This window comes from Homo sapiens, chromosome 9 (assembly GCF_000001405.40).
Source record: "Homo sapiens chromosome 9, GRCh38.p14 Primary Assembly".
NCBI lineage: Eukaryota > Metazoa > Chordata > Mammalia > Primates > Hominidae > Homo > Homo sapiens.
The window spans coordinates 131,678,272-131,704,979 of NC_000009.12; the positions used below are offsets into that span (position 1 = coordinate 131,678,272).

Consider the following 26,708-nt stretch of genomic DNA (forward strand, 5'->3'; position numbering starts at 1 on the left):
GTTTTGTCCATTAAAAGAAAGTAAATAAACTCAACAGAAGAGGGACTTTTCCTAGCACAACATTCTAGAAGGAATTTCAAGAAGAATGTAAAGTAACTTTGAATCTGGTCTTCAACTTTGCTTTTACAAGATCTATGATGTTCTTCAAATAACAATTTAATATTTTCACTCTACAAAAAATCAATAGTCTGATAACTTTATATCAATACACATTTCTTAGAGAATCTAAACCACTAGTATAAGCCAGTGTGCTGTTTTCAGGAGCTCTAACTTAATCCAGCTGTAACCCTCAAGAGCTTAACAGAAATATGTTCCTCCCCATCTATTTTTGGCAGAAGTGAGACGGTGATCACATCAACACTGAGCTCTGAGGCCCAATGTTTGCAGCTCAGAGCGGTTAAGTGCTGATGACTAAGGCCTGACACACACCCGTGCCCACAGGGACTGTCAGCACTGCAGGTACTAGCAGGACCTCAGGGGTGCAAAAGGACACCCAATCAAACAACACACCAGGAGGCCAGCCTCCATGATGGGGGGTGCCGGGGGCACAGGCAGCCCTCTTCCTCCTCAGAGCACCTTTCTTCAGAGAACCAACAATCAAACAAGAGCCAGGACTACACAGGGGAGGCTGGAGGGTTTGGTTTGACCATTTCCCCCTGCTTTTTATGAGTGAAACTGGATATGGTTTTGAAGGGCAGTAGCTAGACAAAACAGGCCAGCAGGAGCAGGACAGATTAAAAATGCAGGAATTCCTCAGCCCGGAGAAGCAAAGGCTAAGAGGCAGCAGTGACTGGGGGTGGGGGGAAATGATGAGGAGAATCCTAGGACAAATATGGCCCTAGGGTGCTGGAAACTCACACGAGGAAATCCCAACTGCGAACTCATTATGTGACAAGGGGGGGGCCACAAGCAGCTGTACAAAGGATAGATTATAAATGTCTCAAGATGCTACCTCCTTGGAAGCTGCAGCTGACCTCAGGGAAGACAAGCCTAAGGGGCCAGCCCCTGTCCTCCATGTGTCCTTCCATAAAAGAACACTGGGCCAAATGATGTGGGATGCCCCTCTCTTCCACTATGACCAAGGAAACCTGTCAGTGCTACAAAAAGGACCTCAGGAGCCACTTTTGCCTTTGCCTGATGGGAAGAAAAAGGGAACGGTGGATTAGAAGCTCACCAAGGCTGTGATTCAGATGTTCCCATCCTAAAGTGATCTGACTTGGCTCAGATTTTTATAACATTAAATAAGTACCAGTAACAACTTGTGTAAGTCCTGAAATGTTTCGTATTGCCGCATAATGAAGTACACAAACTTAGTGGCTTCCAACACACATTTATCCTCTACCAGCTTCTGTGGGTCAGGGGTCCGGGTCCACGCACAGTTTAGCTGGGTCCCTGAAAGGCTGCAATGAGGGTACTACGCAGCGGGGACTCCGCCAGGGAAGGGTCTTCATTCAAGTTGCCCACTCGGGGTGTGGGCAAAAGAACTGATTTCCTTGGAGCTGTAGGACTAAGGTCCCCAGCTTCTTGTTGGATATAGGCAGGAGGCCACCTTCAGCTCCCTGCCACAGGGGCCTCTTCCTCAAAGCTAGCCAGGAAGAATGGCCCCAGAGGGAGTCAGCTGGCAAGAGGAGTTAGAAGTGGGAAGCGAGTCACAGGCCACATCCAACTCCAGGTGAGACAATGAGACAAAGGCGTCAACTCCAGGAGGCAAGAATCCTAGGGGTCACCTTAAAGTCTGTCTGCCATACGCATCTAGCTCCTTTACAACTATAAAATCAAAGCACATTTATAACTAAACGCAACTAAAACTCCCATCCCCAAATTTTGATTAACAGTGCACACTGATGGACAATAAGGACAATGTCTTCTTGAGACTGCACAGTCAGTTCCAATGTGAATCCAGTGTAGAGAGTTAGTTATATTGGGGTTCAATATGCTTAACTGTGTGTCACAATGACAACTCATTGTCTTACCACTTTTTTCTACTGAATCACGACATCATTTTAGCTTTCCATTGGCAGAAGTGCCTCATCCACATTATTAAGCCTGGCTCTGCTCTTTTTTCATCAGCCTGTCCACTGCAATTGAAGGAGGAGAGGAGTGTTGGGAGCAGGCCCCCCAAAATCTGGCCATAAATTGGCCCCAAAACTGGTCATAAACGGAATCTCTGCAGCACTGTGACATGTTCATGATGGCCATAATGCCCACGCTGGAAGGTTGTGGGTTTACGGGAATGAGGGCAAGGAACACCTGGCCCACCCAGGGCAGAAAACCACTAAAGGCATTCTTAAGCCACGAACAATAGCATGAGAGATCTGTGCCTTAAGGACATGCTCCTGCTGCAGTTAACTAGCCCAACCTATTCCTTTAATTTGGCCCATCCCTTTGTTTCCCATAAGGGATACCTTTAGCTAATTTAGTATCTATAGAAACAATGCTAATGACTGGCTTGCTGTTAATAAACACGTGGGTAAATCTCTGTTCAGGGCTCTCAGCTCTGAAGACTGTGAGACCCCTGATTTCCCACTTCACACCTCTATATTTCTGTGTGTGTGTCTTTAATTCCTCTAGCGCCTCTGGGTTAGGGTCTCGCGGACCGAGCTGGTCTCGGCAAGTAGCGTCCATCGTGGGGGCTCGAATCCAGGTGGAGGGGTCGCCAGAGTGATGGCTGGAGAATGCGGAACTAGCTGGAGGACACCCGAGTACTCTCAAAGCAATCCCCCTGGTGAGTAAGAAGGGGAGCTCAGAAGCATCAGGGTAACAATAGGACAAGTGTGGGGGTGTGGTTCGTCCCACCTTGGAACTTTTTCACACCGATGATGAGGAGGAAGGAGAGTATAGCTAGGTAACAAAAGAGGTTACAGAGCATGTTTATTTACCAGCTAAAGCTAAAGCAGCAAAGGAGGGAGAGGTTCATCCCTACCCCTCTGCACCCCCTCATTATTATTTTGAAGAAAATGATCCTCCAGATCTTTCTTTTCCGGAGGACACTGGGCGAAAATTAGTTGCCCCAGTGACTGTTCAAGCAGCACCTCGAGCGACCACTCTTAATTCTATTCAGGCAGGAATTCAGCAAGCTAGACGAGGGAGTGATTTAGAGGCTTGGCAGTTCCCTGTTAGAATACACCCCCAGATCAACAGGGAAATATTATAGCTACATTTGAGCCTTTTCATTTTAAATTACTCAAAGAATTTAAACAAGCTATAAATCAGTATGGACCAGGTTCTCCTTTTGTAATGGGACTGTTAAAGAATGTTGCTGTTTCCAGTCGGATGATTCCTACTGACTGGGATGCTCTTACTCGAGCTTGTCTAACTCCTGCTCAGTTCTTACAATTTAAAACTTGGTGGGCAGATGAAGCTTCCATTCAGGCTGCTCGCAATGCCCAGGCCCAACCTCGAATTAATATAACTGCGCACCAGCTTTTGGGGGTCGGCGGCTGGGCTGCTTTAGATGCACAACTCATCATGCCGGATGATGCCATAGAACAGCTTAGAGGAGTGTGCATTAGAGCTGGGGAAAAAATCACTTCAAGTGGAGAACAATACCCTTCCTTTAGTGCTACAAAAACAGGGATCCAAAGAACCATACGTTGATTTTATAGCTCGGTTACGGGAGTCTCTTAAAAAGATGACTGCAGATTCGGCTGCTCAGGATATAGTGTTGCAGTTATTAGCTTTCGACAATGCTAATCCCGACTGCCAGGCTGCTCTGCGACCTATCAGAGGGAAAGCGCATTTAGTTGATTATCAAGGCCTGTAATGGTATCGGAAGTAATCTGCATAAAGCTACTCTGCTAGCACAGGCAATGGCAAGACTGAGAGTGGATAAAGGAAATACTCCATTTCCTGCAGCTTGTTTTAACTGTGGGAAGCATGGCCATACTAAAAAAGAATGTAGAAAAAATAAGCGAGTCAGGCTGCCAGATAGGGGAAAAAAGAAAACTGCTGAGCCTGAAATATGTCCAAAATGTAAAAAAGGAAAACATTGGGCTAATCAGTGTCACTCTAAGTTTGATATAGAAGGGAACCCGATTTCGGGAAACGCCATGAGGGGCCCGTCCCGGGCCCCGTTCTAAACCGGGGCATTTCCAGCTCAGGCCATTCCATCACCTCCGTACAATGTCTGTCAGTAGATTTATGCTGCACAAAAGCTGTGAGCCTTCTGCCTGGGGAACCTCCGCAAAAGGTTCCAACAGGAGTCTGTGGACCCTTGCCAGTGGGGACAATATGATTACTTCTAGGAAGGTCTAGTTTTAAGTTTAAAAGGGGTGCGAATACATACAGGAGTCATTGATTCAGATTACAATGCGGAAATTCAAATTGTTGTAACTACTTCTGTTCCCTGGACAGCAGAGCCAGGAGAGTGCATAGCACAGCTCCTGATTGTGCCGTATGGGGGAATGGGGAAAAGTGAAATTAAATGAAAAGGAGGATTTGGAAGCACAAATAAACAAGGCAAAGCAGCTTATTGGGTAAGTCAAATTACTGATAAACATCCTACCTGTGAAATAACTATTCAGGGAAACAAATTTAAAGGTTTGGTAGATACAGGAGTGGACATTTCAATCATTTCTCTACAGCACTGGCCGTCCGTGAGGCCAATTCAACCCGCTCAATGTAACATATTTGGAGTTGGTAAAGCCGCTGAAATATATCAAAGTAGTTATATTTTGCATTGTGAAGGGCCCGATGGACGACCTGGGGCTATTCAACCAATTATAACTTCTGTACCTATAAATTTATGGGGGAGAGATTTATTACAACAATGGGGAGCACAAGTTCTAATTCCAGAACAATTATATAGTCCTCAAAGTCAACATACAATGCATGAATTGGGGCATGTCCCTGGTATGGGACTAGAAAAAAATTTGCAAGGTTTGAAAGAACTGCTTCAAGTGGAAAAACAAAGTTCCGCCAAAGATTAGGAAATAATTTTTGATGGTGGCCATTGTTAAGCCTCCGGAACCTATATCTTTAAAATGGTTCACAGATAAGCCAATTTGGATAGAACAATGGCCGCTAAGTAAAGAGAAACTGGAGGCTTTAGAGAAATTAGTTACTGAACAACTAGAAAATGGGCACATACTTCCTCCAACATTTTCCCCTTGGAATTCTCTAGTTCTCGTAATTAAGAAGAAATCAGGTAAATGGAGAATGTTAACTGACTTAAGAGCCATCAATTCAGTTATACAACCTATGGGAGCATTACAGCCAGGATTGCCTTCTCCTGTTATAATTCCAAAAAATTGGCCTTTAATAGCCATAGATTTAAAAGACTGTTTCTTCACTATCCCTTTGGCTGAGCAAGACTGTGAACGGTTTGCATTTACAATTCCTGCAGTAAACAACCTGCAGCCTGCTAAGCGTTTTCATTGTTTTACAGATGGGACTAGTAATGGTAAAGCTTTATTCTGGATCAAAAAGTAAAGATTTCCAGATGCCCTATATTTCAGCTCAAAAAGCGGAGCTTGTAGCTGTAATTGAGGTATTGACTGCTTTTGATATGCCTATTAATGTGGTTTCTGATTCTTCATACATGGTTCATTCCACACAGTTAATTGAAAATGCTCAGTTATGATTTCATACAGATGAACAACTGATGACTTTATCTACCCAACTGCAAACAGCAGTTAGAAGTAGAAGGCACCCTTTTTACATCACTCACATTAGGGCTCGTACACTTCTTCCAGGACCTTTGACTGAAGGGAATCAAATGGCCGATCGCCTAGTTGCTAATGAAATATCTAATGCTAGACACTTTCACAATTTAACCCATGTTAGTGCCTCTGGTCTCAAACGCAGATACAGCATTACCTGGAAAGAAGCTAAAGCTATTGTCCAGTGATGCCCAACTTGCCAAATGGTACATTCTTCATCTTTTACAGGAGGAGTTAACCCTCGAGGACTGGAACCTAACTGTCTTTGGCAAATGGATGTCACACATGTTCCCTTGTTTGGGAGACTAGCTTATGTACATGTATGTGTGGACACCTTTTCTCACTTTGTCTGGGCTACATGCCAATCAGGAGAGTCTTCTGCCTGTGTTAAACATCACCTTTTGCAGTGTTTTGCGGTGATGGGCATTCCAGCTTCTATTAAAACAATAATGCCCCAGGCTATCCTAGCCAAGCTCTAGCTACATTTTTCTCTATGTGGAATATTAAAGATATTACTAGTATCCCATACAATTCTCAAGGACAAGCCATAGTGGAAAGAATGAATCTTTCCCTAAAACAGCAGTTGCAAAAGCAGAAAGGGGGAAATAGAGATTATGGAACACCGCAGATACAACTGAATCTAGCATTATTAACTTTAAATTTTTTGAGCCTGCCCAAAGGCCAGATGTTATCAGCAGCTGAACAGCATCTACAGAACAGCTGCAAAGACAGAAGCAGAACAACTGATTTAGTGGAGAGATCCGATAACAAAAAGTTGGGAAATAGGTAAAATAATAACTTGGAGTAGAGGTTATGCTTGTATTTCTCCAGCCCAAAATCAACAGCCGATTTGGATACCATCAAGACACCTGAAACCTTATCATGAGCCAGATGCCGAGGAAGAGATTCCGGGAGGATCCCAAGGACCCCTCAGTTGCAGCCATGTCGAGACTGATGCTGAGGAGGACCCCAACTGTCATGAGCAACACCCGTCGAACACAGCCACCCACCTGGGGACAGATCAAGAAGCTGTCACAGATGGTGGAAGAAAACCTGAGGAAAGCGGGACAACCAGTCACAACAAGTAATTTAATGGTAGCTATGATAGAGGTTATCACCACTGCCGTGAGTATTCCTTCAACAAGGGCTGACACAGAGAACAATTATACTTACTGGACATATTTATCTAGTAACCCATTAAAATGGATAAAAACACTTGGAAGCTCTGTGATTTCAATGATGATTGTGCTTTTAATCTGTGTTGTCTTTGTACAGTCTGCAGATGTGGATCCTGACTCCTGCGAGAAGTAGCTCACCGCGACAAAGCTGCCCTTGCTTTTATGGATTTGCAAATCAAAGAAGGCGGACATGTTGGGAGCAGGCCCCCCAAAATCTGGCCATAAACTGGCCCCAAAACTGGCCATAAACAATCTCTGCAGCACTGGGACATTTTCATGATGGCCATAATGCCCACGCTGGAAGGTTGTGGGTTCACGGGAATGAGGGCAAGGAACACGGGGCCCACCCAGGGCGGAAAACAGCTTAAAGGCATTCTTAAGCCACAAACAATAACATGAGCGATCTGTGCCATAAGGACATGCTCCTGCTGCAGTTAACTAGCCCAACCTATTCCTTTAATTTGGCCCATCCCTTCGTTTCCCATAAGGGATACTTTTAGTTAATTTAATATCTACGGAAACAATGCTAATGACTGGCTTGCTGTTAATAAACACGTGGGTAAATCTCTGTTCAGGGCTCTCAGCTCTGAAGGCTGTGAGACCCCTGATTTCCCACTTCACACCTCTATATTTCTGTGTGTGTGTCTTTAATTCCTCTAGCGCCGCTGGGTTAGGGTCTCCCCGACCTAGCTGGTCTTGGCAGAGGGGCATATAGTGGAGTATGGAGAAAACTCAGGCGAATTCAGCTACGTGCATTTGGACAAACAGAGAGGCAGGGCAGGGCAAGGAGGAAGGAGACACATTTTAGGCAAATCACTCTCCAATTTAGTCAGAGCATATGATGCCAGGTGAGGGTCAGATGGAGAGGCGAGGTGACTGCTTCTTCAGTTCCTTCATGCGTTCTGGGGTGTGAATATCTCACCTCACTGATACGATTCTGGTGTTTAAAGGTAACAATTTTCTTTTTACAACGTAGTACCTGAATATAAAACGAATTCCTTCATTTGCTCCAAAGCAGAGGGCAGCAAACTTTCCTTGAAGGGCAACATACGAAACAATGGACTTCGTGGGCCATACAATCTGTTGCAAATATTCAACTCTGCCACTTTGGTAAGAAAGCAGCACCAACAATATGTAACTAAATGGGTATGGCTGTGTTCCAACAAAACTTTATTTATAAAAACAGACCGCCAACTGGATTTGGCCCATTTGCCATCCCTGCTTTTAAGAAACAGCATTCTGTTCCAATGCTGAAGACAACTGGCTCTGTGGGTCTCCGACAAGGATTCTCTGTGTGATTTTGACTATGGGTAATTGGTGCTGTGTGGACTTTTCAGACCCAACCCCCCACCTGTATGGAATGCAGCTCCACTACACAACTGGGCAGCCACACAAGGAGCTGCCCAATTGGCCTGAAATCAACACAAAGTCACCATCCAGGCTGTCCACAAGATGCTGGGTTCCCTCTCTGTTTGAATAATTTTTTTCTCCCACAGACTTCCTTGACCTCCTAGACGGGGTAATGAGGCCAGAGCTCTCTGCATAGCATTCACCTCTCTGTGTTGTAGGTTACATCCACTGCCTTTGTTTTCCACCTGGCAGTGAGAGGATGCCTCCTGGAAAAGGCAGGCAAAGCCTCTATATTGCTCAGTGCCCAGCACAGTGCCAGAGACTTAGACAGTCCTCATTAACATCTGCTGATGAAGTAAGAAACCGGGTTTCAGTGTATGTTTTTCTCAGCCCCAAATGTTTTACATTCACAGTACTTAAATGTAACTACATCGTCATACTATAATTATTTAGTTGAACTATGATAGCGTTCTGATGAAATGGAAGATCTAAAATAAGTTGACTGCTGAGGTGTTGAGGTTCAAAACCACGCGAAGATAATGAAATAAAATTACCAATAGGATCCGTTATGTTAAGTCAAATGTTATGTTAAATCAAATCAACACCAGCCTCTGGCTTCTTGACAATACTGGAAAATTTGAGAATGCAAGCCTGGACAACAGATTCAATTCATAATCAATCAGTAATCTTTCTGAGTGGCCAATCAAATAACTTGCATACAGTTTTTTTGTTCTTTTGTTTTATTTTTAAAAACAGAGTCTTGCCCTGTCCTCCCCGCTTGAATGCAGCGGCACGATCTCAGCTCACTGTAACCTCCACTTTCCAGGTTCAAGCAAATCTCCTGCCTCAGCCTCCCAAGTAGCTGGGACTACAAGCGTGCACCACCACCCCTGGATAATTTTTTTTTGTATTTTTAGTAGAGACGGGGTTTCACCATCTTGGCCAGGCTGGTCTCAAACTCCTGGCCTCAAGTGATCCGCCTGCCTCAGCCTCCCACAGTACTGAGATTACAGGCGTGAGCCATCGCACCCGGCCTTGCATAGAATTCCCATTCACTCCTCCCCAAAAGTCTGTTCTCAACTGAGCATGTTTTCCTTAGATTTCATTGTTTAAAATGCCTCAAGAGTAAGGTGGTCCTTGGCTTTTAATGGGAAGAAGCAAAGGAAACGCATGGAGGCAATGCAGCCACTTGTACAACCAGCCTCCTGTGATTCCTTTAGAACTCAGAGCAGCCCCTAGGTTGGTGCCAAGGAGGACAAGTTTAAATGTAGCTGAAAACACTAAATGCTTAATCTTCTCTCTCACCACGCCACACATCCCAGGATCCTCCACCCCCATGCCTTAAAAAAATCAATTTTCATATAATGTTCTATATAAATGGGAAATTAACCTGTCAATCTTGATACTCCACCATCACATGGGTCTCAATAGTTTAATGACAAAACCCTATGGGCTGTGAGGAACAAGTGTGTTACCCACGTGAAGATACACAGCATAGCAATTCTTCTGTAAATCATGTGAGTTGCTCATGGATGGAGGCTTCCCGGAACCTCTGAATGAGAAGCATTTTCATTAGGAGCCCAAGTACCCAAGAAAAGAAAGGAAAATGAGCCACAGCCAGGTCTCTTGACCTTTCCAAGGTTAGTTCGTGCACAGTTACCTGCCTGGGCAGAGGTGCTTAGAGGAGATATGCTGGAGATGCCGTGCCAGATGAAAGGGAGACCTCTCTCAAGGTGGAGAATTGTCCCTCCAAGTCACTCCCTTTAAAAGCCCCCAAATCCCACAAGTTAAGAACTTCAGGAAGAACTGAAGTCAATTATTCCGAGTCTGTGAACACCTCCAGTCAATGGTTTACACTCTGGTGTTGAATAAAAGAACCACAATTCACTGTTTATACATAAACCAAATAAACAGCAACAAGTGTCCTGTATTTCTTATCTCAGTGGATGTTAACTACCCATTAACATAAGCCAGGAACCTGGTGGCATCCTTGACTCACTTTATACTGCTAAATAAAACGTACAAGGGCCTACATTTCTGGCACTCAGCTGGCTACTTTGAAACTCTGTAAGAAATTTACATCTATAAAGGAAATCTCCATTTTGTAAGGGATCTGCCTCTCTGCACCCTGAATCACTAGAAACTATTACAATGAAGAAGGCAAGACTCAAATCTAAATAACAAGCCTGTGGCTGGGTGTGGTGGCTCACCCCTGTAATCCCAACACTTTGGGAGGCCAGGAGTTCGTGACCAGCCTGGGCAACATGGCGAAATTCTGTCTCTACCAAAAATACAAAAAATTAGCTGGGTGTGGTGTAATCCCAGCTACTCGGAAGGCTGAGGCAGGAGAATCACTCGAACCCGGGAGGTGGAGGTTGCAGTGAGCCAAGATCGTGCCACTGCACTCCAGCCTGGGCCATAGAACGAAACTTCGTCTCAAAATAAAAATAAAAAACAAGGAAACAATAAGCTTCACCTTGGACCACTGTGTCTTAACTGGAATTCCCACTTCACCCCTTTCTTTGTCTTGACAAATAATGGTGTTTAATTTTATGCCTTTGAGATGTCAATTTTTAAACTCGTTTCATCCAAGAGTCATCTTTTTGGAAGGACAGATTTAGGGTTGTCTGGCTAACAACTGCTTAGGGTGATGGAACAGAAAATGGAAAGATTAATGGTTTGAAATATAAAGAATCATATTTAACTTCTGTTTCTTTGATTCTGTGATTTTTTTTATACCTGTCTTGTTTGTCAACAAAAATAAAATAATGTAAGATGATGGGGCAGAGGAGGGACTGATGACAGCTGAGTTCTTCTGAGAATCTGTCTTTGGGCAGGTACGAGTTCAGAGAATGCCTCTCCCTGCATTTGTTGTATTTCAAGTACATGCAGCTGGAAGTGATCAATATACTAATGCGACATATTCTGGAATGGCATTTCCTGAACTCCTTCACTGATTAGTTTTAAGAAGCATTTCAAGCATAAATATTAAGCATGACTAAATTAGGTGAATGTAAAGGGGATAAAGGTTTATAGACGGATTAAATCATAGTTTCAAAAATCCTTTTCAGTAACTTGAATTTTTTTTTTTTTTCCAGAGACGGAGTCTTGCTCTGTTGCCCAGGCTGAAGTGCAGTGCTGTGACCTCGGCCCACTGCAACCTCTGCCTCCTGGGTTCAAGCGCTTCTCTTGCCTCAGCCTCCCGAGTAGCTGGGACTACAGGTGCCCACTGCCATGCCCAGCTAATTTTTGTATTTTAGTAGAGACGGGGTTTCACTGTGTTGTCCAGGCTGGTCTCCAACTCCTGAGCTCAGGCAATCCGACCGCCTCGGCCTCCCAAAGTGCTAGGATTACAGGCGCGAGCCACCGCGCTTGGCCAGTAACTTGAAATCTTAAAGTCAAGTTATGTTAAGTAATAGTTATGAAATGTCTGAGTTGTTTCTAAATAAGTTAAAATACTGAAACATTAATATCTGAATATAAATGTAAAGTATATGTATTCTGGCATCTTGTTTTTATATGGCATAAATTAAATACATGCGGGCCTTGTGAGTCTGTTAATAAACATGAAAAAAACTGTATTAGGGCACATGTTCCTAAAAATTAAGAAATGGTGCTCATGTACAAAGTGCTGATATAAAACAGTTTAAATTTGCTCACTCCCTAGTTTTCACTAGAAATTAAGGTTACCAAGAGTTAAAAAGTCTAATTAATGGATGACCATTAAAACTAGAAGGAAATAACTCTGTATGTGAGGGAAATAAGATACTTTCTAAATAGGAAGTTATAAAGAATGAGACTTTGTTAAGGGAAAAAGAAAGTAATTTTTTCTTTCTACAGTAGAGTGACGGTTCTTCCAAAACGAGAAAGAGAAACATTAGAGGACAAAACAGAATCGATCAGAAAATGGTAAAAGGTTTGTGGAAGATGAATCTTGTGAAAGGAATTTTATGTTTGATCGAGCTAAAATTAAAAGGAAATTATTTATAATGTCCAATTTTTTTCTAAACCTTTTTTTTCTAAAAATTGAGCATTAATATCAAAAGTACACTGATGGGTCAGGCATGGTGGCTAATGTCTGTAACCCCAGCACTTTGGGAGGCCAAGGAGGGCAGATCGCATATAGCCTAGGATGTGGAGAACAGCCTGGGCAACATGGCAAAACCTCATCTCTACCAAAAAAAGGATACAAAATTAGTCAGGCATGGTGGCATACACCTGCTGTCCCAGCTACTCAGAAGGCAGAGGTGGGACCCTGGGAGGTGGAAGGTACAGTGAGCCGAGATTGTGCCACTGCACTCCAGTGTAGGTGACAAAGTGAGACCCTGTCTCAAAAAAATAAATAAATAAAATAAAAAGATGCTAATGCAAAATAGAATTTGGTTCTCTCAACACGAGGTTATCAAGGTCATTTTAAGTCTTGTTATCTACAGTTAATTGCTTTGTTCTGATGCTTGTCTCAATGCTTTCTTGGAGTATTGATTTACTCTTAATGAGAAATAGTGAAAGGTTTTTCTTTCTTTCTAGATAATTGGCCTAGGAAATAAAGATTTTGTGTTTTATCAAGACAATTTCTTGCGCTTTGCATTTTCTTTTATTAGGCCTTTGATTACTTAAGAAATGTGAGTCTTCTCAATATTAAAAGAGCTAAATTTTTGCTGACAACTATGTAACTTACTGTATTTGCCTTCTGAAGTCTTTTTCTTATCACTGGTTAAATGAACAACTATTATTTCCACAATGACATGTGATACTATTTTAATTGTTTTAAACCTGTTGATATTTTTGACAAACTTCTCAAAATCAATTTTAGATCAAGTCTCTCTGACCTCAAATTCACTTTGAGGTTTCTCAGTTGGGCCCCCAGAAAACATCAAAGGATGAGTCTCTCACCGTGAAAAAGAGAAACATTACTCCAATTAGGCTTATCTGATCATCTGATATGCTGTCAGTCATAATTTTGGTTATCATGTTAACTTGTTGTATGCCACAGAAACAGCCAAATTTCCTTGTCAACTGAATCATTATTATAATGAACCCTCATCAGATCTCTAATCATGGTCGCTTTAAGTCCTGTTATCCACAGTTAATTTGCTTTATTCTGATGCTTTTCTCAATGCTTTTTGCAAGCAACTATAATCCTAAAATGTTGTGTTTTCAAGGAGATTCATGGAAAGGATGGAAAGGACTTTGACAAGAAGAGGTCTCTAATAACTTTAAGATCATACCATTGGACTGGCTAAACATTTCCAGAACTCTAATAAAGAAACTGATGGGCTTGTGAAACTACTGACCAAGATCAAGCAGAACAAAAATTAATTACATGAGACAGAATAAAATGATAAATAACAATTGTGGGTTTTATGGTTTTTAATTTGACATATTGCTGGTGTTTTATTTCTCAGATTAAAAAAAACACCTTTTTCCTTATATTAGCTTTCAGTAATTTGGTAAAGTTATACTCTTATGAACAAAAACGAAATATTTATGTTTTCTCCCTACCTAATATCTCCAGAATTCGGAAATTATTTGTGACTCTTCTTATCTTTGTGCTAATATAGTTATTTCCATTAAGTTCAATATGAGTCTGCTCTCATAACAGAATATAGTTGGAAATATCAGTTTGGCTTCCTAGCTTTGAGAGTCCTTTAAAAGTCCAATCTGAGATTTCTTATCCAAAGTTCCAGCAAAGCAAACTTTGTGATCAATCACTAGCATTACTGCAGTTGTGTAAATAATCAGGCCAAGTTTGACGAGACTAAGCTCATTTTGCAAAAAAATTCACCTCGCTTTATCTTTAGTAGAAATGAGGGTGACTGTAGAGAGAAAAACTATGTTTCAGAAGAAAAACTATAGTACACCTGTTATTAGATTGTAGCCCTGTTCGTTGTTTTTGAGTTTTTACTATTTGTAGGCTGGAACGGATCCAGAATTCTTCTACTTTCCTATTTGGAAACATCTGGCTACAACTCTCCAAATACACACAAGAACTGCTCTGTCCCAGAAGCCCTACAAGCTGGAGCTTGACAACTCCATGTATATTATGAGGGACAGGTCTCATACCTGATATGTGGGCCACAGAGAGTTCACCCAAACACCGGACGTTATAATCACAGGCAGTCAAACTGCAAACCAGGACAAGCTGACAACTTCATGCTGTGGACAGCTTTTCCCAAGACATCAGAACAAGATTCTTTATCATAATGAGGCTCTGACTCCTCTTGATTTTTCCTTGCTTATGCCTACCTTTTTCACTTGGCAGGATAATGCTACATTGCCGGAATTGCACAATCAGTAGCTTCTACAGAGACTTGATGAAAAAACGGATCTGTCATGCCAAACCTAGTCATGGGATGGTAGGTAACAGAAATGCCACCTTCTAGCCGAACAGGAAATAATCTGCACAGTTGCTAATGCTTCTTGTTGCACATGGATAAACCGAACAAACAGGCTGCTTGGCTAAAACAGGTAGATTCCCCATCTGGCTCATTATTTGATCTAAATGATTTCAGTTGGTTTGGTTCATGGGGACCCTGGCTAAGGGGCATACTCCAAACTCTTGGTATTATCATCCTCATAGTCATTAGCCACAACAGTAGTCTCCCTGGTGCACTGTATCCTCTCAAAAAAGTCTTAAATGTGCATATGCAGCCATCTGCTGAATGGTAAATGTTCTCTCTCTGGCTGGAATAATGGAAACTCCAAGAAATGCATGATAATGAGGACACCCATGAATGACGTGTTAAGATTTAAACCCCAAAATAATGATGACGGAGTAGTGCTGATGCCCTAAGTTTTGGTCACACTGTCTCCTAGGTGAGAGCATGACAAAAAGGGAGAAATTGTTAAATTAAATTTATAGGAGGTCATTGGTTTGAACTGAGCTCCTGCAATATGCCCAATAGACCAAACCAAAATGGTGTCACTCACGCTCAAGTTCCATACCACTAAGCCAAAATAAGATTTTTATCTGACCTTCAGAGAAATCAGGAGAGAGAGAGAATAGCCAAATCCCCAAACAGGCCAGTTGTAGCTGGCATGATAAGAAAGTCCCCTCTGCTTTAACCTTTATAAGAAAAGTAACTCTGAAACAACCAATCTGCTTTTTATTTTCTGTTTCTGCTTTCCTCAGTCCTTTTCTTTCTATAAAACCAACCTCCTCTGCTTGGCCCATCAGAACACTCAATTCTATTCAAGTGTTTCTCAATTCTGGAATCACAAGTAAAAGCCAATTCAGGTCTTTACATTGTTGTAATGTTGTCTTTTGACAATACCTTTCCAAACCCCAGATCCCATCCATTCCCAAGTCCTCTTGGAGTTTCCATTATATCCAGGGAATCTGTCCCACTGCCACCACCCTTATCTGCCTGCAAATACAAGGCAGCTTAAGAATTCCATTCTTGCCATTCCAAGGCTTTCTCCCACTGCAGCCAGGGCAATCTCATCAATTTTTCAAAGCACAAATCTCGTATCCTCTCAATCAGTTTCTCTCTCTCTCTCTCTCTCCAAACACTTAATGGCTATTTAGCTTGAGACTGAGTTTAAGTGTTCTTAAACTCAAGGCTGTGACAGGCCCTACAAAATCCATCTCACCCCCTCTCCCACCTCTGCCTCAGGTCTCTGCCCACTGTTTTCTCACCTAGACAGTATCCTCTCCCTCCCCAAGGGCCCACCTCACATTTCACCTACTTTACTCTGACTTACCCTTCAGATCCTAGCTCTGATCTTTCATAGTATTTACTAGTCTGTAATTACAGGGCAAGGGCTGGGGGCAGAGGAATTCTGCCTTTTTCAGTCAGGGTTCCAGCAGAGAATGAGGCCTAATACCCTAGGGCATGCATTAGATGTACTGAATGAACTTCTCTCCCAAGCATCCAGAAAGCATCAGCTGTGTCACACTCCTGGAAGAGCTGAAGAGCTGAACAAATAGTCACAGAGTTCTGTGTTGTATGGTTCAGATGGGGAACCCAGGTTTGAAAAGCTTTGTGCCAAATACTACTTGACACAGAGTAGGTGCTCAAAGGTTTGTTAAAATGAAACAGAAATGTAATCTTGCAATGAACCCAAGGCTGGCACGCTCTCGCTCACTCTGCTGCAGTCACACTAGATTCGTGCTGTTCCTTCAATACCTACCAGGTCCCCCTGCCTGGCATGCCTGTGCCCCAGGTTTATCTGCTTGGCCAACTGCTTCACCTTCTCAAGACTGGACGCAGATATCACCTTTCAATGAGGCCACCCCGGACACTCTCTTTAGCTCTGCAACCTGACCCCATGATCCCTGGAATTCCTGATGCCCCCTTATCCTCCTTCCTACAGCACTCATCACCTTCACACTTTCTTTTTTTTTTTTTTTTATACTTTAAGTTTTAGGGTACATGTGCACAACGTGCAGGTTAGTTACATTTGTATACATGTGCCATGTTGGTGTGCTGCACCCATTAACTCGTCATTTAACATTAGGTATATCTCCTAATGCTATCCCTTCCCCCTCCCCCCACCCACAACAGGCCCCCGTGTGTGATGTTCCCCTTCCTGTGTCCATGTGTTCTCATTGTTCACGCACTTTCTTTACATGCAACTCACTAACGGATAATGTTGACTGTCTATTGTGTATTTTCACCTACTAGCAATATAGGTTTCATGAGGATATCTGTAACCCAAGTGGCTAAAACAATGCCTGGCATGCAGCACATGTCTAATCAATGTTCATTAGATAAATGCATGAACGTGCTTCTTCTGAGTTACCACTCTCTCATAATTCGGAAGCACACAGGGACTGCCTGGTTCCAATTCTGTAGATTCTTTAGCTCAAATCCCCGCCAATGATTAGAATGCTTCCCTGTGTCCGGTTTCAAATTCCTGAGGCAGAACCAATTGACCCGGCTTGTCTTCCCAAAGCAGGCCACACGATAGAGGTCAATGGTAGCTACCCATGGATGAGCCATTTAGTGTAGAAGGGCCTCTTGGCACAACCGAAAAAGAGCAAAGCCATCTGAAGCTATTCAGTGTGGAAGCAAAAGCTCTCCCCAGATTGCAAGCGCACTGCTGTGTTACAGCAGAGGCCACACTGGGTATCAGTGGAAGCAGGGGCATCAGGAGCGAGTTGGATCAAGCTAGACGTTTAGCTGCCAATCCTAACCTTAGTGGGGGCTGCTGCCAGGACTGAGTGGTGTACCTCAATGTCTGGCTCACCCAGAAGAGGTGCATCACTCCCTCAGGAAACTTAACTGTCCATATGCAGCCATCTGCTGAATGGTAAATGTTCTCTCTCTGGTTGGAATGATGGAAACTCCAAGAAATGCATGATAATAAGAACACCCATGAATGACATGTTCCCATCTCATCCTCTCCATAAACAGATTTGTTGACAAGTGTAACCAGCAAACATTTAATAAAAAAATCAATGTAACTCTGCAGGCAAGCAGGCATTCTTTAGAACTCCTCACCGCACCCCGTTCCCTGCTGCAGATTTTATAATGACCTGAAAGGCAGAGTGGCTGACACAAGCTGGATAGTTCTGGCTCAGGAAGATGTCTCATGAAGCTGCAGTCACCTGAGGCCTGACTGGGGCTGGAAGAGCTGCTTCCCTTCCCTGTGGGCTGCTGGCCAGAGCCACAGACCCTCACCTGTGACCTCGCCTCACCACAGGACAGCTGGTCTCCCCCCAGAGCAGGGGATCCAAGAGAGACAGGCTGGCGGAAGCTACAACATCTTGTATGACTTCTGCTGTATTCTACTGGTCATAGGACCAGCCCTGATCCAGAGAGGGAGGGGATGACACCTGAGTGTGAATACCAGGAGGCGGGGATCCCCGGACCATCCTGGAGAAGACATACCACAGTCTGCTCATGTAGACAAAGACCTATTTTTTAAGGGCCCAGAGCTAACAAAAGGTTTTTACATCTTAAAGGGCTTTCCTTAAAAAGGAAAATAAAGCAGCATATGTGACAGAGACCACAGGTGGCCTGCAAAGCTTAAAATATTTACTATATGGTCTTTATAGAAAAAGTCTGATGACCTCCGATGTACACTGTACTTTACAGATGATTTAAGGGATCTTTCAAGGCTAATTCTTCCTCTGTGCCATGTTCTCTTTATGCTCGGACTTTAGAATCTATCTCCCAAGTGAGCAACTCTATTGAAACAGGTGCTCAGCGAACTGTAGCTCTGAATATTATAGTGGCAAGCACTAAGAAATGAACAGCTCATCATAACCTGAACAGAAAGATAATAATCAACAGTTCCTTGTCCATAAGTAGGTGTCTGATAAATACAAACTCAGTGAATGAATGACTAAATGGATACGAAATACTACAAAGACGCATCTTGAAAGTATGGAGCTATCATGACAATAAAAATATCTTTAACCAACGATTTACAATATAAACACAACAACATGTGAAGGTGCTATAATAACATTAACAGCTGAAATTTATCGAGGGCTAACTCTATGCCAAGTATTGTCAAGCATTCTCGTATTCACGCCTCATATGCTAAGGCAGGTGTAATTAGTTGCCTTCATTTTACAGATGAGCAAATTGAGGCTGACGGAAATTAAGTAATTTCCCCTGGATTACACTGATACATAAGTAGCGGGGCTATTTTCTCTTAGCAAACTACATAAAAAAATAAAGAGCAACTCTGCATCCTGAATGTCATGCCTGAGATGAGCTTGCTGAAAGCGCAGCAGAGACAGCAGCCCTCTGCTGGCCCAGGCTTCTCCTCCATCCCTTCTCGCTCCCTCCCTTCCTCACACTCAGCTGGCTGGGATCCCAACCCAGGGACTCCAAGAAGGGCCCAGCTCCGGGCTCCCTATGTAAGCAAGGTCACAGAGACTTGAAATGGGTGATTGAACCTAATTACTCACTGCTCTGCTCCCTCTATCCAAAGAGAGCTTGAAAACATTTTCACTGAGGTCTTTGCTGAGATTGCAGACTCAGCACAGGACCTGCCTCCTGCTTTCCTAAATGAGCGAAGTGGCTTGCAGCGGCTCTAGCTCTGGGGCCAACAAGGTTTTGACGCTTGAATTAGGAGAGGGCAGAGAGAAGGCTGCAGCTCTTGCAGCAAAATGCAGGGCTGTCAGGTATACACCCAGGACACACTGCAGCCACTGCAACAGAACAGAACTGAGCTCTAGGCCACGGGTTTCCTAGGCGGACATAAAGAGATCTCACTCTCCCTGAATGGCCTTGGAGATGGCTCAAAGTGTCCACTCTTCCCAGATTCTTGCACCTGAGGGTACAGGACTTGCTCAAGACTATACAGCCAGTGTCAGAGACAAAGTTCACTGATGCTAATTCAAATTTTCCCACATTTTGGATTCTGCTCTTGGAAAGCTTGAAGTCCAGTTGGTTGAAAAGACAGTTGATGATGACAAGTTCTGGAGGGAAGAGGACCTGGGCAGAGGGAACCTGGACTAGAGGCTGAGTGTACCTGTGTCAGGGCCAGAAAGAGAGGGGCCAGGATAAAGGCAGACAGAGGAAGTCAGAGGCCTGGAACAAAGTGGGGCGTGAAGGGGAACATGTGTGACTATCTGGACAGGAGAGTCAGCTGACCAAGGACAAGGGCAAAGACTGTCAAAGGGCACTGAGGGACCAGCTGAGAGCAGAGACATGAATCTGTGTCAATAACACACCACTGTGACCTCAAAGGGATTCTCATAAATACAGCTGTCCAATCCCCGCACAGTAAACATGCAAGCCACAACAAGATGATCACCTCCCTCAGTCCACCCTGATTATGAGATAATCATCATCCACAAAAATATTATTCCCATGCCTAACAAGCAAAGGGAGGAGGGGCCCTCTAGTCTGCCCTTGTAAACAGACACTTGCAGGAAGGGAAAATAGGGAAGAAAGGGGCTTTGACGTCAGAGACCAGTTTAGGTCCCAATTCTGCCACTTACTAGCTGCATGATCTTGAGCAAGTTACTGGATGCTCAGTGACCTGGTTTTCTCATCTGTAAAATCACAATCATACTACCTACCCCAAAGAACTCTTGTGATGATTGAAAGCAACATGCTTAGCTCACAGACAGCTGTGACAAATTGTTTGCAGTAATGGCCAAACGATTCCCTGCTCCTCATACCCACAGCTTGGCAAGATGACTTTGCACTCTCCTGTTAGAAGGGCGGGTAGAAGGAGGGGGCAGGTCTCTCTCTCCCTTCCCCTTGAATCTGGGCTGGCCTGTGGCCTGCTTTAGCCAATGAAATAAAGTAGAGGTAACTGTGCGGCTTCTGACCTGGGGCCTCAGGGCTGCCCCCCTTCCCCGACCAGGTGAGCAACCCCACTACGGGAGGGACCCTGGGCTAGCCTGCTGGAGGCCCAGGGATAAGCCCTCCCAGCAGCTGATTGTAGACACTTGAGGAACCCTAGGCAAGACCAGGAGCCCAGCAGCCCAGCCTGAACTGCCAGCTGCAGAAGTGTAAACTAGGTGCCCAGTTGTTATTTAAGCTCCCTAAATAGCGGGGTGATTTGTCAGCAAGGACTGTAAATACTCAATGCACCACAGCTGATAATCAGGACTTCTCTCTCGTCCGGCAATTCTCCTGGTCTTGAGCGATGTTTCCATCTCTACCAGGTCATTCCCATCAGCATTCAACCTTGCCATTATTTCACCCTTTATGAAAAAACTTTCCCTTGACCGCAATACCCTTAACAACTACCACCTTGTGTCTTCACTCCCGCTTTCAGCAAAACTCCAAGAACGCCCATGCTCCCTGTGGCCAATTCTCCTCTGCTCATTCTTTGACACTTTCACACCCAACACTCCACTGACACTTTTTTTTTTTTTTTTTTTTCTGAGGTGCAGTTTTGCTCTTGTTGCCCAGGCTGGAGTGCAATGGCGTGATCTTGGCTCACTGCAACCTCTGCTTCCCAGGTTCAAGTGATTCTCCTGCCTCAGCCTCCTGAATAGCAGGGATTACAGGCATGTGCCACCATGCCTGGCTAATTTTGTATTTTTACTAAAGACAGGGTTTCTCCATGTTGGTCAAGCTGGTCTCAAACTCCCGACCTTAGGTGATCCGCCCGCCTCGGCCTCCCAAAGTGCTGGGATTACAGGCATGAGGCACTGCGCCTGGCCCCACTGACACCTCTTGTCAAGGTCTCCAGTGACCACTATGTTACTGAATGCCAAGGCCAAGTCTTGGTCCTCAAGGGATTTGACCCAGTCAGCATCATGTGTCACCGAAGCCCCCTCTCTGCCTCCTCCTCAGGAACACTTTCTGCAGTTGGCTTCTGAACACCAGTCTCCTGCTTTCCCCCTACCTTCCTGGAAGGTCTTTCGAGGTTTCTGCTGGTGCTCCCTCATCTCCTCCACCTCCTAATGCTGGAGTGCTCTGGGGCTCAGGCTTTGGCCCCTGCTCTTCTCTGACTTACTTGCTGGTATCTCACCCAGTCTCATAGCTTTAAACACCATCTTTATGTCAACAACTCTCAAAAAAGCCTACACTTCTTTTCTGAACTCCAGATTTTTATACTCCAGATTTTAATGGCCTAATGGCCACCTCCTTGTAGCTCTCTGACAGGCACCTCAAACTCACTCTGTACCCACACAGCCCCAATCATCCCCCACAATCTGTGCCACTGAAGCTCTCCTGCTTCGAAAGTCAACCTTCCGATGCTCAGGAGAAAACCACTGGGGTCGTCCTAGACTACTCTTTCTCTCTTTCACCCCATACTCAACCCCTCAGTAAATCCCACTGGCTCTCCCTTCCAAGTCCTTACAGTCATCTCAAGGCCTGGCTTCATCTGCCATGGGTCTCCAGCCTCCGCCCTAGTCACACATTCCCAGGTCAGGGCCTCTGCGCCACCTCTTCCTTTTCCGGAGCGCGCCTGCCCAGACATCTGCAACACACAGGATTCTGCTCCTTATTTCTGATCACTCTCCCTTTCCATCACATGTAAAACTAACAACCCTCTTCCCCTGTCCATCCTGTCCCCTTCCCTGGCTCCTCTATATGATACCTGTCATCCAAAAGCCTACATATTATACTTGTTCATATGTAAACTAAAAACTCCAGAGGGCAGAGATGTCTTATTTTCCTCATTAGGTATCCCCCGTGCCTGGAACAGTGGAGACACAGGACCTGTTCAATAAACATTTGTTGGATGAATGAACATCCAATCAATAAATGAACAAATATAGAAACAATAGAATTTTTTTTAGTACAGTGTCCCATTTAATAGTAAAGGAAAAATGCTGAAAGCCTCTATAGTCAATCATGAGGTTCTACAAACCTTCCACTGTCTGTTTTCTCCTTATTACAGTGGTGAGAAGAAGAAGGAGGTCTCCATTTGCATAGATGGAGACCTGAATGTGTGTGTGCCGGAGAAGCCAGAAGGCTCGCTGAGCAACCCCAGTCAAACAGGAGGCTGCTTGTTCGTAGCCTGCAAGTGAAGAATGGTTTTCATATTTTTAAATGATTTCACTTTAAATCGTTTTATGGGTATCTACATAATAGTCTTACTTTTGCTTCTTGGGCCTGCAAAGCATAAAATATTCATGACTTGGCACTTTTAGAAGTTTACCAACCCCTGGAGGCAAACTTCTCGGTAGTCCACAAGGCCCCCTGAAACAGTTATCCAGGTATTTCAGCAAAAAGTGACATCTGAAATCAAGTGCCTTAGAAGCAATCAGTGAAAAGTGATTGGAAAAGTGATTAAAGTGGGCACTGGCCATGGCTATTATCTAAAATAATGGTGACACCCTCTATGCAGCTGGGAAAGAAATAGCCAAACACGGAAATGTATTTTACGCACGTTCCCAGGGTAAAGCATATCCGAAAACCAATGGCTACGGATAGATATTGTTCTAAATTTGGAGGTATCTGATGACAGAATGAAGTTTCCTTCCCTTTTCTTACCCACACCCAAAACTACACCCATACTTCTCATGAGAAAAATTCTGTCACACTTAGGGTTTCCCTTTCCAACATCTGATCTTTCACTTAAGAAAAAACCGATTTCCAGGACACTTTAGTTACATGTCAACTGCTCCCAAATGGAAGCTCCTAATATACACAGACCTTTCAGTGCCATGCCTGGCAAATAGGAAGCCACTGGCATTATTGTAATACTGTATCCCAATATGTTATTATTGTATCATTGTTACATATATTATTGCATCATATGTTATATATGATACAATACATAATGGATTGCATATACAATGTATTGAATATTCTGTAACATGTAAATATAAAATCATAACATATACAGTATGTTGTATGGTTTTATATTATTACATGCGTTATTATATCACTGTTATATTGCTATCCTAACTTAGGAGACACAAAGCCACACTCTAGCTGCAGGGCTTCAGACAAGTTACTTCACTTCTAGAAGCCTCAATTTCTTCATTGGCAAAATTAGGGAATAATTTGAGATTTTTACTCTTCTCTTCTAGCTCAAGATGTCTGTGATTCCAAAGTCATGTTAAATAATCTTTTGTTTACCTTTCTCTCCTACCCTGAACCAGTTTATGACTACATCCCAATATGGCCTCTAACCTCACTGATGAACCAATGGCCTTGTCCGTTCTATTCACTCCAACGCCCTGACGTTCTACACTAGTTGATTCAAACTACCCTCCCAGCAAACTGTTTAATGTATCTATTTTCCTAACAATTGAATTGATGCTCTTGTCATCCATATGCAGTTAGGGAAATGGTTAGCTCTCTACAGAAGCAGCGAAGAGGGATTGCTGGGTCATTAGTCACGCTGCCTAACAGTAAGCATTACATTAACAATGTTAACAACACTTCTGGGCTCACTCTGTCTCTTTCATGTGAAGAAACTCAAGTATTTAATAATCATTGCTCTCTGGAAGGCAGAAGACAAAAAGTTGTGATGGTAATTGGGTACGCTTAAATAAAGCCTCATGTCTCCTTTCTATGAAACTCAGCACTTGAATGAGATTGAGTCAAGCCCAAAGCAAATGACTGTGGGAAATTAAATTTTATAACAAAATGGATTCTTAACACCGATAATGGCTTTTGAACTTCCCATACCCTTTCTCTGAGTCCCGTGCCATCAGATAATTCATCAAAATGGTGTTTGTAAGTGTAGTTTAAGTTTTACAAGAGGAACGATTTCAAAATAATATTCAGTGCTGATGTGCTTGAGAGTAACTGGTAAATTTATACATCACTCATGAAAATGCATCACTTTTGGAAAACAACAAGGCAAGATCCTTAAAGCTATTTCTATGTTCCTGGCTTGGGAACTTTACACTGGGAACTTATCCTAAGGACATCATCCAACAGAATCACAAAACTATATTAATGAAGCTACTTACTGCTGCCTGACCTGTAAAAAGTGGAAATAATTTCGATATTCAACAGCAGGTGAATGATTTCATAAGTTATGGAACAGTAACATGATGGAATGTCATAGTCATAGCAGTTATTAAGACCACATAGAAGCATAAAATTAAAAGAAAAAAAAGCAAAATTATTTGCATACGATGACAATTCTATGAAAAATATGCATCGTGCAGCCGCTCTGAAAAAGAATAATGGCACTGACTAACACTTTTGCCGCCTCACTATGTTTTAGGTCATTCACTCATTCATTCATTTTAAGACAGGGTCTCAGTTCACCCAGGCTGAAGTGCGGGGAGGATCACCTGAGCCCAGGAGGCAGAGGCTGCAGTGAGTCATCACCATGCCACTGCATGCGTGCCACCACGCCCAGTTAATTTTATTTTTTAAAATTTTTTGTAGACAGGGTCTCACTGTGTGGTCCAGGCTGGTCTTGAACTCCTGAGCTCAAGTGATCCTCCTACCTCAGCCTTCCAAAGTGCAGGGATTATAGGTGTGAGCCATCATGCCCGGTCATTTATGTCTTTTAGGCTTAGCCACTCAACATGCATTTTCTTGTTTGCATTTTGTCCGTTTGTTCCAATGTTTTTCTTTAATAATGTAACATCATTTCAACCAAAATTAAATGTAACTTCTCTGTATGTGGCCTAAAAGCAATAACAATAATAAACTGACTGGATACTGACTGCACGCCAGGCACTGTCCTAAGCACTTTGCATGGACAGACTCCTTCATCCTCACAACATCCTATGAAGTGGGCCCTATTTGCAGATGAGGAAATTGAGGCCCAGAAATTAAGTAACTTGCTGAAGGACAGCCAACTAGAAAGTGGGAGAACAAAGACTCCACCCTGGCACCTGGGCTCCAGAGTTCTAAAGAAATTTTCAAAGAAATTCAACACCATAAAAAGCACTCCTATGATCCCTCAGCTCAGCCAAACCGATGCTGTCTAAGCAGGTACTGAATGCTCCAGGAGCTAGCACATATGAAAGGCAGTGACCACTGCTGATGGTCATTGATGCACAGCCTGCAAAGGGTCCTTCAAGACCATCAGGCATGCGATACCTTAAGCTGAGAGACAGAAACAGGTGGAGAATTACCCAAACTCACACAGCCATTGGGATTGGGATGAAGCCAGGCAGATAATCCATGTCCATGGATCTGGTAAATCCAGGGTTCTCTTTACTATGCAATGCATAACAAGAATCACTAATATTCATTAAATGCTCACTGTATGCTAAGGGCTATAACCCCTTTATGTGAATTATCTCATTTAGTGCTCACGGTAGTCCTTCAAAGTACGCATTATTATTAATCTCATTTAGAGATCAAGACACAGGCCTGGAAATGTGAAGTAATTTGTCTTGTCTTACTTATTAGCTAGAAGGCACTGAGCCGGTGGTTATTGCAGCACCCAGCCCTTGTGCATTCTGGATCAATATTAATTAGCTGGCACACGGGCATCCAGCTGCCCCAGATGCTACTTTGCTATCTAGTGTGCAGAGGCAAGTCTAAACACCTTTGCTGGCTGGAATCCAAACATTTCTAAATTTGCCCCTATGGCAGAGCAACCACTGGCATTCAAAACTGAGGCAAATCCTTAACTCACCCCCTGCCACCCCCAGCCCCACCTGGGCCTGCCAATCTGCTTCCAGCACAGCAAATCCCACAATCTGCCAAGGTCTGTGGGCTGAAGCTTTTTATACTCAGCTCTTCTACTAAGGGTGTTAATTTCATTCGCTCACACCCACACTGTGTACAAACATGCAAATCATTAACATTTCCATTTACCAGGCTGGTATGGCCTGGAGCTGCTGGGATTTTTGAAGGAGATAACAATTCAATTTGCAATTACTGCTGCAATTTTTAATTCCCAAGGAAACTTCTGTCAGTGCTGTACTCCCGAGAGCCAAAATGAACACTGTAAGCAACTCTTCAAATCATTTCGAAAGAGAGGGAAAAAAAGAGAGGAAAGGAAGGAATGAAAGGAAAGGAAAGAAGGAAAGGAGCCAGTCAGGCAGGGTGCCTGCCTGCCTGCCTACCTCTGGGAGGGCAGGATTATAAGCCTATTTCAGAGAAGTTCAATTTAGCTCTAAATTTCAAAGTTTCCTCCAGCTGTATGAATCAACAACTAAATGTTGATTCTTTAGGAGGGGCTTTTGTGAAGTAATATTTGCAACTGAACAATCATCAAC

At 43.5% G+C, this 26,708-nt stretch overlaps 1 protein-coding gene across 13 annotated transcripts in view, besides 3 other annotated features; it reads right to left on the reverse strand.

Annotated features, from left to right (window-relative positions):
- The window catches only part of RAPGEF1 (Rap guanine nucleotide exchange factor 1), a 163,302-nt gene that overhangs the window by 101,497 nt on the left and 35,097 nt on the right, over window positions 1-26,708 (reverse strand). The window lies entirely within an intron of this gene.
- Window positions 181-230: an enhancer, noted in NCBI's record as "active region_29206". NCBI's record gives its function as "activates an Ori minimal core promoter by ATAC-STARR-seq in GM12878 lymphoblastoid cells {active_cell/tissue: GM12878}" and the evidence as "EXISTENCE:reporter gene assay evidence [ECO:0000049][PMID:35858748]".
- Window positions 571-650: an enhancer, noted in NCBI's record as "active region_29207". NCBI's record gives its function as "activates an Ori minimal core promoter by ATAC-STARR-seq in GM12878 lymphoblastoid cells {active_cell/tissue: GM12878}" and the evidence as "EXISTENCE:reporter gene assay evidence [ECO:0000049][PMID:35858748]".
- Window positions 5,071-5,671: an enhancer, noted in NCBI's record as "OCT4-NANOG hESC enhancer chr9:134558729-134559329 (GRCh37/hg19 assembly coordinates)". NCBI's record gives its function as "activates a minimal SCP1, AML or CMV promoter by ChIP-STARR-seq in naive H9 embryonic stem cells {active_cell/tissue: H9 hESC(naive)}" and the evidence as "EXISTENCE:reporter gene assay evidence [ECO:0000049][PMID:30033119]".